The sequence below is a fragment of the Homo sapiens genome, chromosome 2 (genome assembly GCF_000001405.40).
Source record: "Homo sapiens chromosome 2, GRCh38.p14 Primary Assembly".
Classification (NCBI taxonomy): Eukaryota; Metazoa; Chordata; class Mammalia; order Primates; family Hominidae; genus Homo; species Homo sapiens.
In genome coordinates this window covers 195,532,906-195,547,003 of record NC_000002.12, presented here as the reverse complement: position 1 = coordinate 195,547,003, position 14,098 = coordinate 195,532,906, and the positions used below count along the sequence as shown (strand labels likewise).

Here is a 14,098-nt window from a genome sequence, read left to right as displayed (position 1 = left end):
AATCGGCTCTCTATATAATGGACCAATCAGCAGGATGTGGGTGGGGCCAGATAAGAGAATAAATGCCGGCTGCCCGAGCCAGCGGGGTTACTCCCTGTGGTCGTCTTCCACGTTGTGGAAGGTTTGTTGTTTCGCTTCTTGCAATAAATCTTGCTACTGCTTGCCGTTTGGGTTCAGGCTGCTTTTATGAGCTGTAACACTCACTGCAAAGGTGTGCAGCTTCACTGCTGAAGCCGTTGAGACCACGAATCCACCGGGTGGAACGAACAACTCCAGACGTGCCACCTTAAGAGTTGTAACACTCACCTCGAACGTCTGCAGCTTCACTCCTGAAGCCAGCAAGACCACGAACCCACCAGAAGGAAGAAACTCCGAACATATCCTAAAGTCAGAAGGAACAAATTCCGTATACGCTGCCTTTAAGAACTGTTAACACTCACCGTGAGGCTCCGCGGCTTCATTCTTGAAGTCAGTGGGACCAAGAACCCGCCAATTCCGGACCCAGGATTACAGGTGTGAGCCACTGCACTGTTTAATTTTTTATTATAGTGCTGTAGTGAGCCAAAATGCCGCAACAGTACTCCAGCCTGGGCAACAGAGTGAGACTTGGTCTCAAAAACAACAAAAAGTCAATTATGGTCAATTATAGTTTTACTTAACCAACTTTCTTTTATTTTTAAATTTTTATTTACTTATTTATTTGTGATAACGTCACGCTCTATTGCCCAGGCTGGAATGCCACAGTGTGATCATGGCTTACTGCAGCCTTGATCTCCCAGGCTCAAGTGATCCTCCCACCTCAGCTTCCTCAGTAGCTGGGACGGTAGGTGCTTGCCACTATGCCTGACTTACTTTTTTATTTTTGTTTTTGTAGAAGCAGGAGTCTTCCTATGTTGCCCAGGCTGGTCTCAAACTCTTGGGCTTGAGGAATTCTCTTGCCTCAGTTTCACAAAGTCCTGGGATTACAGGCTTGAGTCACCACACCCAGCCTTAACCAAATTTGATGATATTCTGGCCAGTTCAGAATTGCCTTCTGCAGCGTTCAAAAAACAAACAAAACTTGTAATTTGAATCACAACGATTTATTCAGTGAACTAAGAAGCATAGCTTTTTCTGTTATTGAATTTATGGACTGTTCACTCTTAAGAAGGAAGGCCAGCAGCACTGTATAAGAAAGATTTATCTAAGTTTTTTTTTTTTTCTTTTTTTTTTGAGATGGAGTCTTGCTCTGTTGCCTAGGCTGGAGTGTAATGGCGTGATCTCGGTTCACTGCAACCTCCGTCTCCCAGGTTCAAGCGATTCTCCTGCCTCCACCTGCCGAGTACCTGGGATTACAGGCCTGTGCCACCACGTTTGGCTAATTTTTGTATTTTTAGTAGAGATGGTGTTTCACCATGTTGCCCAGGCTGGTCTCGAACTCCTGACCTCAAGTTATCTTCCTGCCTTAGCATCCCAAAGTGCTGGGATTACAGGCGTGAGCCTCTGTGCCCAGCCCCTCTAAATTTTTCTTTTTTTCTTTCCTTTTTTTTTTTTTTTTTTTTTTTTGAGATGGAGTTTTGTTCTTGTTGTCTAGGCTGGAGTGCAATGGCGCGATCTCTGCTCATCGAAACCTCCGCCTCCTGGGTTCAAGTGATTCTCTTGCCTCAGCTTCTCGGGTAGCTGGGATTACAGGCATGCACCACCACACCCGGCTAATTTTGTATTTTTAGTAGAGATGGGGTTTCTCCATGTTGGTCAGGCTGGTCTTGAACTCCCGACCTCAGGTGATCCACCCGCCTCGGCCTCCCAAAGTGCTGGGATTATAGGTGTGAGCCACTGTGCCTGGCCTAAATTTTTCTACACTAAAATGTATAGCAATTTTAATGAACTAGTGTCATTATTGATAGAGACTAAAAATCCAATTAGTTAATCTGCTTGCCAATTTGGGTCATTGCCAAGAACTATTTCTAAATTTGATTGCATTGATTCAATAGACTTTCCTAGGTATTGAGATAAAAGGTTGGTAAAGAAAGCTAACAAACGTTTTTTTAAAAAGTATTGGGAAAAATGAAATAGTGTATCTCTCTACTTGCTTGTTATCACCATTTGTATGCTTCAAATCAAATCCAGAAACCTATATAAAAATATGAAAAGATATAAAAACACCAAGACACTGTTTTATGTACTTTCCCTCACACTCATTTTTTGCTTACACTCTTATTGCTGCTGCTGTTCTTCCAGTTAATGTGTAACTTAGTGTTGTTTTTTGAGATAAAAAAGTTTACATGATATGATTCACTTCCTTCTCTGTATATCCCATACTCCTGTAGTACACTTAACGAATCTTACTGCCTCTTGTTTTTTGCCTTTAAAATACTCATCACCAGATTATGAGCTCCTTGGCAGGGCCCATGACTAACCCTTTCTTTGTATCCCCAGTGCATAGTGTAGTACTGGTACGTGCTAGGAACTTTATAAACATTTGTTGAAATAAATTGATTTGGCCTATCTGCTGTAGTAACAGCAGGAGGGTAATCACCTGCTACTTTATTGTTTCTGGTATGGCATCTATTAATTAGCTGCTGAGTTGAGTTTTTCTAGTTAAATAGCTTTCCATGGAAAATAGGCATAATAATAGTTTCTTTTTCTTTCCAACTTTTATTTTAGGTTCAGGAGTACATGTGCAGGTTTGTTACATTTCATGGGCATTTGGTGTACTGATAATTTTGTCACCTAGGTAATCAGCATAGTACCCAATGGATAGTTTTTTTTTCTCCCCTCCCCTCCCCCTCCCCTCCCATCCCCCCCACCCCCCTTTTTTTATTCAGACATAGTTTCTCTTTTGTTGCCCAGGCTGGAGTGCAATGGCGCAATCTTGGCTCACTGCAACCTTCGCCTCCCAGGTTCAAGTGATTCTACTGCCTCAGCCTCCCGCGTAGCTGGGATTATAGGCACCCACTACCATGCCCTGCTAATTTTTGTATTTTTGGTAGAGCCAGGGTTTCACCATGTTGGCCAGGCTGGTGTCAAACTCCTGACCTCAGGTAATCCATCTGCCTCGGCCTCCGAAAGTGCTGGGATCATAGGTGTGAGCCGCTGCGCCGGCCCCAGTGGGTAGTTTTTCAAACCTTACCTTTCTCCCACCATCCACCCTCAAGTAGGCCCTGGTGTCTATTCTTCTCTTCTTTGTGTCTATGTATACTCAATGTTAATAATAGTTTCTTACTTGTAGAATTATGATGAGGAATAAATGGAATAATATATGTAAAGTGTTTTGTAAAGTACAAAGTAAACATTCAGTTTTTGGTTGGCTATTACTCTAGCTGCTACTTTTATTATTGTTCTTATTATTAATCATTTTGATTTGGTTTTGGTAACCAATGCACTATTTCAGATGAAAAGCCTAAGCATAATGGACTGTTTGAGTCCCCCCCAAATCCATACATCGGAATCCTAACCCCTAATGTGATGGTATTGGGAGGTGGAGCCTTTGGGAGGGAATTAGGTCCTAAGAGTAGAGCCCTCATGAATGGGATTAGTGCCCTTATAAGAAGAAACATGAGGGAGATGATTTCTTTCTTGGCCAGGTAAAGATACAACAAGAATACCGTCTTCGGCAAACCAGAAAGAGAGCTCTCAGCAAACACTGAATCTGCTGGTGCCTTGATCTTTAACTTCCAAGCTTGCAGAACTGCTAGAAGTAAATGTTTGTTGTTCAAACCACCCCATCAATGCTGTTTTAGCAGCCTGAACTAAGACAGAAATTGGTAGTGGGAGTAAGGTGCTGATGTAACAATTACCTAGAAATGGGGAAGTGGCTTTGAAGTTGGGTAATGGGTGGAGGCTGGAAAAGTTTTGAGGTGCATGCTGGATAAAGCCAATATTGCTATGAAGAGATTTTAAAGGTGATCTGGTGAGAGCTCAAAAAAAGAGGAGTGCTGTAGAGAAAGTTTTCATCTTATTAGACAACAATCAATCATGTACAGAGTGTTGGTGGAAATATGGACATTAAGGGCAATTCTTATACGGTCTCAGAATGGGAAAACATGTTATTGTACAATGGAGAAAAGACTATCCGTGTTATAAATTGGCAAATAACTTGGCTGAATTGTGTTCATGTTCTAGCGTTTTGTGGAAGGTAGAACTTGCAAGTGAATGTTGAAGGAGCAGCTAGCAAGAAGAGAGAAATAAAGAGAAGATAAAATTGTTAAGCAAAAAGGAGGCAGAGCTTAAGGATTTGGAAAATTCTCAGCCTGTCTACATTACAAAAAATGAGAAAGTGTGATGGGAAGGGAAGAGTGGGGTGTGGAGGAGCCACCATTTGATATGGAGATCAGCATGGGTATGAACCATGGATCTAATCAACCACCCCAACAGAAACACTAACAGTCTTTTTTTCTTTTATTTTTACAGATGTACTTTCTGCTTTTGAAACACTGACAGTTTTTATTTTTAAAATTAAAAGAAATTTTTTAGTCTTAAGGCATTATAGCCAGTTGTAGAAAAATAAGGGTTTGTATACCTCTTCTTTTCATGATCAAGGAAGACCGAAAATAATTTTCAAATATAGAAGGCTACCCTTCTCCAAAGTAGACCTAGAGCATGAGTGACTGTGAGTGTTTTCCTCTCTTTTCTCTAGCAAGAGAGTGGCAGAAAATTGCTTTGGTCTCTCTTAAGAAAGTAACTGACCTCTGAATCACTGAAGATAGCTCCCTGAGCAATGTGGGTAACAGGTTCACTGGAAACACTAAGGTTAGCCACACTTGGGTACAGATGTAGAGGGCAGGTGGCAATGTTGTGGATAAGGAGATGTAATCAGAAACACCTTATTTGGGCCAAGCATGGTGGCTCACGCCTGTAATTCTAGTACTTTGGGAGGCTGAGACGGGTGGATCACTTGAGGTCAGGAGTTCGAGACCAGCTTGGCCAACATGGAGAAACCACGTCTCTACTAAAAATACAAAAGTTAGCTGGGTGTGGTGGCACGTGCCTGTAATCCCAGCTATTCGGGAAGCTGAGGCAGGAGAATCACTTGAACTTGGGAGGCAGAGGTTGCAGTGAGCAGAGATCACAGCCCTGTACTCCAGCCTAGGAGACAGTGAGACTGTGTCTCCAAAAAAAAAAAAAAAGAAACACCTTATTTGGAAGATGGTAAAGTAATAGCTGCCTGGTTCCTGGTGGACTGTTATTCTGGGTCTTCAAGTAACAATTCAGTGCTCTTGAAAAATGGAGACCTTGTTGGGAGAGCATGGGCACCTGGTTTAAAAGGACTGAGCTCTAAGTTTTGTAATCTAGGAGTACCACTCCTGGCCTTGGCTGAGTTTGCATGGAAGTTGAATGATGGAAGGAGCACAGTGACCCTTGCTGTAATATAGATAAATAAGCATCATCACAGAATGTGATGTTAGAAGGAAAAAATCATTTCTATAAATTGAAAGATAAACAGTTTAAAAGCATAATGAAGGAGAGTTGAAACCGTAAGTAAGGCAAAATCCATAGGACGTAAATGAATGCCTTTTAATTGAATCTTTTGTGATAGCTTTAAAATTTTTTTATTGTAGTAAAATATACATAACATAAACTTTACCATCTTAGCCACTCTTAAATATGCAATTAGTGGCATTAAGTGTATTGACAATGTTTGTAACTATTATTACTATCAATTTCCAGAACTTTTTCATCATCCCTAATAAAAACTCTGTATCCATTAAATAATAAATCCCCATGCCCTTCTCCTCCCAAGCCCTGGTACACTTGTATTCTACTTTCCATCTCTATAATTTTGTCTATTTTATGTATCTCGTAAAAGTGGAATCATAAAATATTTGTCCTCTTCTGTCTGGCTTATTTTACTTAGGATAGTGTTGACAAAGTTCATTCATGTTATAGCATGTATCAGAATTCCAGTCCTTTTTAAGGCTGAATAATATTCCATTGTATATATATATACCATATTTGGTTTATCCATTCTTCTGTTGATGGACATTTGGGTTGTTTCCACCTTTTGGGTATTGTGAATAGAACTATTATAAACATTGGTGTGCAAGTATGATACCATTTTATCTTTTTTTTTTGGCTGATGAATTCCCTATAACTTGTTTTGTTATTTTATTGTTTTTTATAGCTTTGTAGGGCGTATACTTCTCTCTCTCTCTTTTTTTTTTAATTGAGGCAGGGTCTCACTCTGTTGCTCAGGATGGAGTGGAATGGTATGATTATGACTCACTACAGCTTCAAACTTCTGGGGTCAGGGAATTCTCCCACCTCAGCCTCCCCAGCAGCTGGGACTACAGACATGCACCACCACACCTGGTAAACTTTTTTTACTTATTGTAGAGATGGGATCTCACCATGTTGCCCAGACTGGTCTTGAACTTCTGGACTTAAGCGATCATCCCCTCCTTGGCCTCCCAAAATGCTGGGATTACAGGCGTGAGCCACTGTGTCTGGCCAGGCTTATACTTCTTTAGCTTATTACAGTTTAACTTCAAGTGATATTATAGGACTTCATGTATAGTACAATAAATTTATAACAGTAGACTTCCTTTTCTCCCTTGCCTGCATTTATGCTGTTAGTATTATGCATTTCACCTTTACATATATTATAAACCCCCAAACACATTGTTACTACTGTTGGGTAAACAGTCAACTATCTTTTAATAGATGTAAATAAGAAAAAATACTTTATGTATTTACTCATGTGTATTGGTCAGAGTTCTCCAAAGAAACAGAGCCAGTAGGGTATAGTAAATATGTTTATTATGAGAAATTGGCTCCGATGATTATGGAGGCTAAGAAGTCCCACAGTCTGCCATCCACGAGTTGGGAGACCGCGGAAAGCAGTGGTGTAATTCAGTCCAAGTCCAAAGGCCTGAGAACCAAGGGACCTGGTGTTGTAAATCCCAATCTGAGTGCTAGGGAAGATGGGATGAGATGTCTCAGTTCAACCAGACAGGCAGGAAGCAAAAGGGGTGAATTTTCCTTTCTGCCACACTTTATTCCATTTAGGCTCCTAACAGATTGGATGAGGCCCATCCACACTGGGAGGGCAATCTACTTTACTGAGTCCGCTGATTCAAATGTAATCTCATTCAGAAACACCCTCACAAACACATCCAGGAATAATGTTTAATCTGGGCACCTCATGGCCACTAAGTTGGCACATAAAATTAACAATCATGCCATGTATTACCATTTTTGGTTCTCTTCATTTATTTGTGCAGATTAAAATTTTCATATAGGGTATTTTTCTTCTGCCTGAAGAATTTCTTTAACATTTTTTGTAGTATGGATTTGCTGGTGATGAACTCTTTCAGCTTCGTATGTCCAAAAATGTCCTGGCCAGGCACGGTGGTTCACGCCTGTAATCCCACCCAGCACTTTAGGAGTCCAAGGCAGAGAGTTGTTTGAGCTCAGGAGTTCAAGAACAGCCTGGGCAACAGAGTGAGACTTCATCTCAAGGAAAAAAGAAAAAAAGGAAAAAAATTCTTATAAAGACATTTTTACTGAGAGTAGAATTCTAGCTTTTTTCTTTCAGCACTTTAAAAATGTTGTTCCACTGTTTTCTGGATTGCATTATTACTGAAGTTAAATCTAATGTCATCCTTATCGTTGTTTCTCTGTATATAATGTCTTTTTCCTTCTGGTTGCATTTAAGATTTTCACTTTATCACTGATTTTGAGCAGTTTGATTATTGTGTGCCTTAGTGTAGTTTTCTTCATGTCTCTTCCTTTTTTTTTTGATAGGGTCTTGCTCTGTCTCCCAGGCTGGAGTACAGTGGTGCGTTCACAGCTCACTGCAGATTCAATCTACTGGGCTCAAGAGATCCTCCTGCCTCAGCCTCCCAAGCAGCTGGGACTACAAGTATGAGCCACTGCACCTGGCTTCTTCATGTTTCTTGTACGCTTTGAGTTTTGTTGAGTTTCTTGTGTCTATCCTTTCATCAAATTTGAAACAATTTTAGTCATTATTTCCTGTAATATTTTTTCTCACATCCTCCTTTCAGGGACTCCAATTGCATGTCTTTTGTTCTAGGATGCAGTTAAATTACTTGAAAAGCATTTACTTCTTTTAAGTCTGTTTTTAAAGCTTTTTTGGTGGTACCAGTATAGTGTTTAGTCTACATCTACTTATTCCCTACTACTGAGGTAAGACTAACTAATGAGTAGACTTTTTTACCCAAAGCCCCACAAATTACGAAGTTAAGTCAATCTGGATGGGAAAATAGGCTATTTCTGGCCTTGTGTGAGTGCTAAAACACTGTTTCCTTTAATCCTCTTGGGTGGTTTTTTTCCTGGCCACAGGTAACTGCCTCAAATGCCTACAATGATTAATACTCTGCTAAATACTTAAGGGAGACCCTTTACAAATCTCTGGAATTCTATCTCTGCTCAGCCCTCTTTTCTCTGGTACTCGGTCTTGCAAATTCCAGCTGCCTTGGGTCTTCTTGGACTTTCAGCTCTGTCTCCTCAATCTGGGTCATTCACTGGGCTCTGCTTGGATATCTCCTCTTAGTGTCATGGCCTGGAAACTCTGCAAAGCAGTAAGTTGCACCTGTCATAGGGTTCACCTCATTTGTTTACTATCTCACAGGGATCACTTTGGTTTGTTGCCTGATGCTAGTATCTTGAGAGCTGTTGTTTAATATATTTTATCTGTTTTTCTTTTTGTTGTTTCACCCAGGGGGGTTTGCGCCCCCTTAGTCCATCTGTACTGGAAGAAGAAATTCCAGGTTAGTGCCTTAAAAAAATATGTCAATGGGAGAAGAGGCGATAATGCTAGTGGTGCTAGAATGATAGAAATGCCGTTTGCTAGAAAGTTGTTTAATTATGGCTGTAAAATAGTATTTTTGCCTACAGTAAACAGCCTGATGAAGTGAACAGAATATGAACCTTGTAGTTGGTGGCTTGAATTTCAGCTCTGTCACTTAGTAGCTGCCAGACTTTGAACAAGTTACTTCATCTTTGAGTCCTGGTTTCTTTATCTATAGATATAAAAATGAGAAATATGAATATCTGACTCATGGTGTTATGGTAAGATTAGATAAGATGGTATATACAAATTGCCTGCTACAGTGTTTGGCATAGTATTCCCTAAACAAAAGTTAATTCCTTTCTTCTTTTTATTTATTTCTGTATTTATCATCACAGCTCACTGCAGCCTCAACCTCCCGGGCCCACGCGATCCTTTCTCCTCAGTCTTCCAAGTAGCTGGGATTACAGGCATGCGCCACCACGCCTGGCTAATTTTTGTATTTTTTGTAGAGATGGGGTTTTGCCGTGTTGCTCAGGCTGGACTGAAACTCCTGAGCACAAACAGTTCACCAACCTTGGCTCCCCGAAATGTTGGAATTACAGGCATGAGCCTCCCTACCCTGCCATAAATTAATTCCTGTCTTTAATAGCCTCTCTTGTTCTCCATTTTCTCTATTTCTTCTACAAGATAATTCTGCATGTTTTCTATCATTGAATTTTATACAGTCTGGGAGAAAAGCAATAAGCCTTATTATAAATTTCTTCAGGATACAGGACATAGAGTTTTCCTTCCTTTCTTTTTTATTTCTTCATACATCAAACACCTGTTATATAAAAGAGAATGTGCTGCAAACTAAGGAATAAAAATATGCATGATAGGGTCCTTGCTCTCCAAGAGCTGACAAACAAGCAAGTAAGATGGGCATGTAACCCAACGTATAAGATGGCACTATAGAAACACCATGTCTCTTTGCAAAAGAGAAAGCTGATGGCTTGCTGGCTGACAGATAAAAGCACCATGTCTGTATCCAGTCTGTCTTCAGCTTCTTTTGTTGTTTACTTCTTCAATATCTGATTTATTTCAAGGCTGAGGCTCTGATCCAGCTGACCCTGTCGCTGCAGAAACCATTTGATTCTTGCTACTTAGTGTGTTCAAAAGTCACTTTGTGGTAGACAGTATTCTTAATGAGCTGACAAAGCTGAGGCCAGAGTTCCCCGAGTCATGGCACCTCATCTGGGGGACTCTTTGCCTCTGGACATGAAGTGATTACCTAAGGCACTGACTTTAGGAAAAGATGAAAGGCATCTCTTTATAAGCCTTCCTTGATCTTGACACTGAAGGCCTAAATGGCATTCTCATCAAGCATTTACTAACTCATCACCAGCCAATCAATAGGAATTTGGCAGAAGGGAAGAAAGGACACAATTCTTCAGGCAGGGAATTAAAACTAGCATAGTTAAAGAATGACAGTCTTTCAGTGGAAAGAGTGCAGGACTGGAAATGAGGAGACGAAAGTTTCAATCTAATCTTTTTATGTAAAATGGCATTAGACAACTATCTTGGAGTTTTAAAATTCTAGGCTCTGACTGTGGAAACAATTAAGTACTGTAGTGCTATGCATATTAGTAAGAAAACCCAGAAAAAATATATGATCATTTATGTGATTTTTAAAGGTTTTATTTCTGCAGTGTAGCTTTAAATTTATTTATTTCAGACTAAACAAAATGCAATTTTTCTTCTGACTAAAGAACACAATTGTTTCTTTAAATGCCTTGTTAGTAGAAATAGAAGAGAAAGTGCTTACAAACCAGAGAGGAAGTGGCACCACATGGCCAGACTGACTATCGCTAGCCCCATCGGAGTGTGGGTGACTCTGGTTGTGGGTGTGTCTCTTTCGGTCTTACATCCTAACAGAGGAAATTGCTCCACTTGCTGAAGACCTGGGGTTCTTTCAGATCTTCCGGGGTGGGTACAAAGATCAATTTGACCCTGCACATCTCTACACTATGACTTTGGATATGAGGTCCTCAAGGGCGAGAACTTTGCACTAAATACATACATGTTAAATGAGTGCTGGGCACTCAAAACCTACCTGTTTCTAAGAGACAGCTTAGCATAATGGCTAGGCACATGGGCTTTGAAGTCAGATTCCTGCTCTGCCACTAACCAAGTATGTAAGTTAATTAACCCCTCAGTGTTTCAGTTTTCTCATCTGTAAAATGGGAATCACAGTTACCTCATTAAGTTGATATGAGAACTACATGAGGTAATACAAGTCGAGACCTGACACAAGGCTGAGGAAACACTCATTAAGCCCGAGCAATATAGGTGGAGCTAGGGTAGAGCAAATGACAATAACCATCAGTAACTTAATCGTGCAGGAAGAACAGATATTGTTCTCATTGCATAAATGAGGAATCTGAGATTCAAGGAGCTTAAGTAACTTGCCCAGGCCATACAGCTAGGAAGGGAATGGAACCAATTCTAGATTTCATGGTTTTAGACCCCTGAGTCGGTCTAGTGCTGTCTCCACAATGAATTGCCTCAGATGAATAGAGGTGGTGACTTGTCCAGTGGGCCAAATCTGACCCTGGAACATGGGGGTAGTCTCACCTCCCAGATGTTCCAGGCCAAATGGTATATGCCATGTTTAAACTAGGGACTGCCTAGAGCTTTCTGTGATAGGAAAGTGGAAAATTGATATTTCTGGGAGTTCTTGATATTTCTGGGAGTTCTTCATAGCATCCAGTGCTTAGATGCCTTCAAAAACTTCCATTTTCAAATTATAACTGACATTCATTTTCTAAACAGGAGAGACCTCCTGACAGTATGTATCCCTTATCTGATCTGCCCAACATTTGCTTAGAGAAGTGACAGACACTGACCTTTTAGTCCTCGTTGCATATAGCCATAAGGATAATCTTTATGACTTTAAAAAAAGATGGTCAATTCCAATTGAAGCAGACATTATATCAGATGATTTACATACTTACCTAATTTATCATTATAACATTCTGCAGAGATATAATTTATCTCCATTTTATGTTTTTTCCCAAGGTTATACGTTTTGTAAGGGAAGTAGAATGTGAACCTATGACTTCTTCAAAGAAGCTTCTTCCAAGTTCCTTCTCTGAGTATATGACACTGCCTTGCTCTTAACAAACAAACAAACAGATACTTCATTCCATTTCATTCATCAAAATTCAACTAAAAAATTACCTACTGATGTGTTACTCTATGCCCAGCCCAGTGGTACAGTTCTAAGCATCTTAAAACCTTGTTATGGAGTCTTAATATCTTTATGTTTTAGCTTGTGCCATTTTAGGGAAAGTTATAATTTACATTGTTCAGAGCTACTCCCTGGCATATCTTCAAGACTTAATAAAGATTTTGTGGAGGTGGGAAGATGGAAAGATAAAAAAACAATCAAGGCCAAAGAAAGACCTCCATGCATAAGATCATTGGCTCTGTATAAATGGAATAAAAAGCATGAGATGGCCTGTATTTTATTAGGATAACACACTTGAGGTAATATCAAGTTCTAAGCCAAAACCTTACAGTGTAACTTTTAGAAATTCTTGTATCACTGCGAAGTAATTTAGGACCAGAGCAGGGGTGGCTAAATACAGCCTGCAGGCCAGATTAAGCCCACAGGGATATTTTGTCCACACTCAGCTCCCACTGAGAACAAGCAACAACCTTCAGCTGTGGGCGGACGCTGACTCACAGACTGTGTTGCTACTCAGAGCCTTGCCAGCACCAACTAGCTCCAGAGAGATGGGATAGGGCAGTGTCAATCTGGCCTCCAAGGCCCTTTCTGGCTATTATCCCCTGGGACTTGATGATTCAGTACTGCCACAGATCCTGGATTTGTTGGCTAAGCACACCCATGGAGAGAGGCATGGGAGAATGGAAAGGTAGCTGTAGCAGAGAGAGGAGAGTAGCAGTGGTGCCTTAGAGGATGCTTCCTCTTCCTTTGCAGGATTTCAGTCTCATGAGAGTGACCCTTCTGTGTGTCGATGAGTCGCCAGGGAGGGGTTTGCGAATGCTGGGTACAAGTTTACCTGCTGACTGCTGCCCCTTTCAGCAACCTGTTGCCAGTCATTTGTTAGGAACCACTGTGATCTCTTGTAGCTGAATCAGACACCCACAAGAGACCACAGATACGCCTTGCTCTGCCACGTAGTGGGAAAGAATGTCTCTCTTCTATTTTGAGTTACACTTAGATTTTTTGCTCGTGGACTCTTTCCCCCCTGTGACTTAGACATGAAAACTTGTGGAGCTGGCATGGGGACAAAGCAGACATGACATTGGACTCAGAGACACCACTCTCCTCTAGTGGCCAAATCTTTGTGTCTGACTTCTTGTTCTGATAGGATGAGCTATTTTCCTTTCTTCTTTTCTTTTCTTTTTTGTATTTTTTGCTTTCAGCCAACTCACAGCAGGATGAATTCTTTTCTAAGGGACTCATGGTTGTTCACACAAAATGACCTGTGGATAACCAAGCTACTAGCTTGCCAGGCATATCTATATTTGTTGGAACCTCGGGAGTGGGCACAATTTAACACAAATGGAAATTTGAATACACAAGTTATTAATGAAATGTCAAATCTACCCTTTACTGTCCTTGACTCTATAAGATGTAAATAATTAGAATTCTAAGATTTGCCTGTAATCTGGGAAATTTATTTTAGAAAAATCTCTCTGAATATGACATAACATGGAGTCAAATGTCAAGGGAGAGAAAAAAATGGCATAGATGATATGGGAAGAATGGTAGGATAAAACATTTCAAAGAAATATTTTTAACCCCTTCTGGCTTAAGAGGAAAATTACATTTTTGCAAAATAGTCACAACATGATGCACTGATATTTTGTAAATAAACTGTAACTTTAAATTTAGTTTTAGAAAAACCAGTGTGGACAACAGAAAACTTCGACTTATATAAAACTATAAAAGAATGTTATACTATGTTAAACTATAAAAGAAAACCAATTGTAATACAGTATGGAGAAGACTACATACCTAATTGTATCAGTCTCTTTTCACTTTCATTTTCAAGGTTATCACCCTTCAGTGAAGATAAACACTACTAAAAGCTTGTCAGCTCTTTTTGAGACAGGATAAAGGATTTGTTTCTTTGCCTGTCTCAAGGAGATAGATGTGGACTTCAGTGTCCTTCTATAAAGCAGTCGAAGAGCCTAAACAAGATGAAGTGGCAGCATGTTGATGGAGTATATTCGAAGGTGACAAGCAGCCTTGCAGACAGTTCTGCAAACAAGACTTCAGAGAGCTCTTACGATAGGAAAAAAAAAAAGTGCCCTTCCAAGGTTAGAAGTTAGGAATGCATTGTGCCTTTAAGA

At 40.3% G+C, this 14,098-nt stretch overlaps 1 long non-coding RNA gene across 4 annotated transcripts, besides 1 other annotated feature; it reads right to left on the bottom strand.

Moving 5' to 3' along the window:
• Positions 1–6,721: 6,721 nt before the first annotated feature.
• Positions 6,722–14,040, bottom strand: LINC01825 (long intergenic non-protein coding RNA 1825). Of its 4 annotated transcripts, none has more exons than NR_186609.1 (3): positions 13,761–14,040; positions 8,872–8,963; positions 6,722–8,692 (listed from the first exon to the last, which is right to left on the bottom strand). It is a non-coding gene; the product is annotated as a long intergenic non-protein coding RNA 1825 (long non-coding RNA). The 4 variants fall into 4 exon arrangements; NR_186608.1 differs by having other exon boundaries at positions 6,722–8,687; NR_186607.1 differs by having other exon boundaries at positions 6,722–8,963.
• Positions 12,841–12,890: an enhancer, noted in NCBI's record as "active region_16887". NCBI's record gives its function as "activates an Ori minimal core promoter by ATAC-STARR-seq in GM12878 lymphoblastoid cells {active_cell/tissue: GM12878}" and the evidence as "EXISTENCE:reporter gene assay evidence [ECO:0000049][PMID:35858748]".
• Positions 14,041–14,098: the final 58 nt, after the last annotated feature.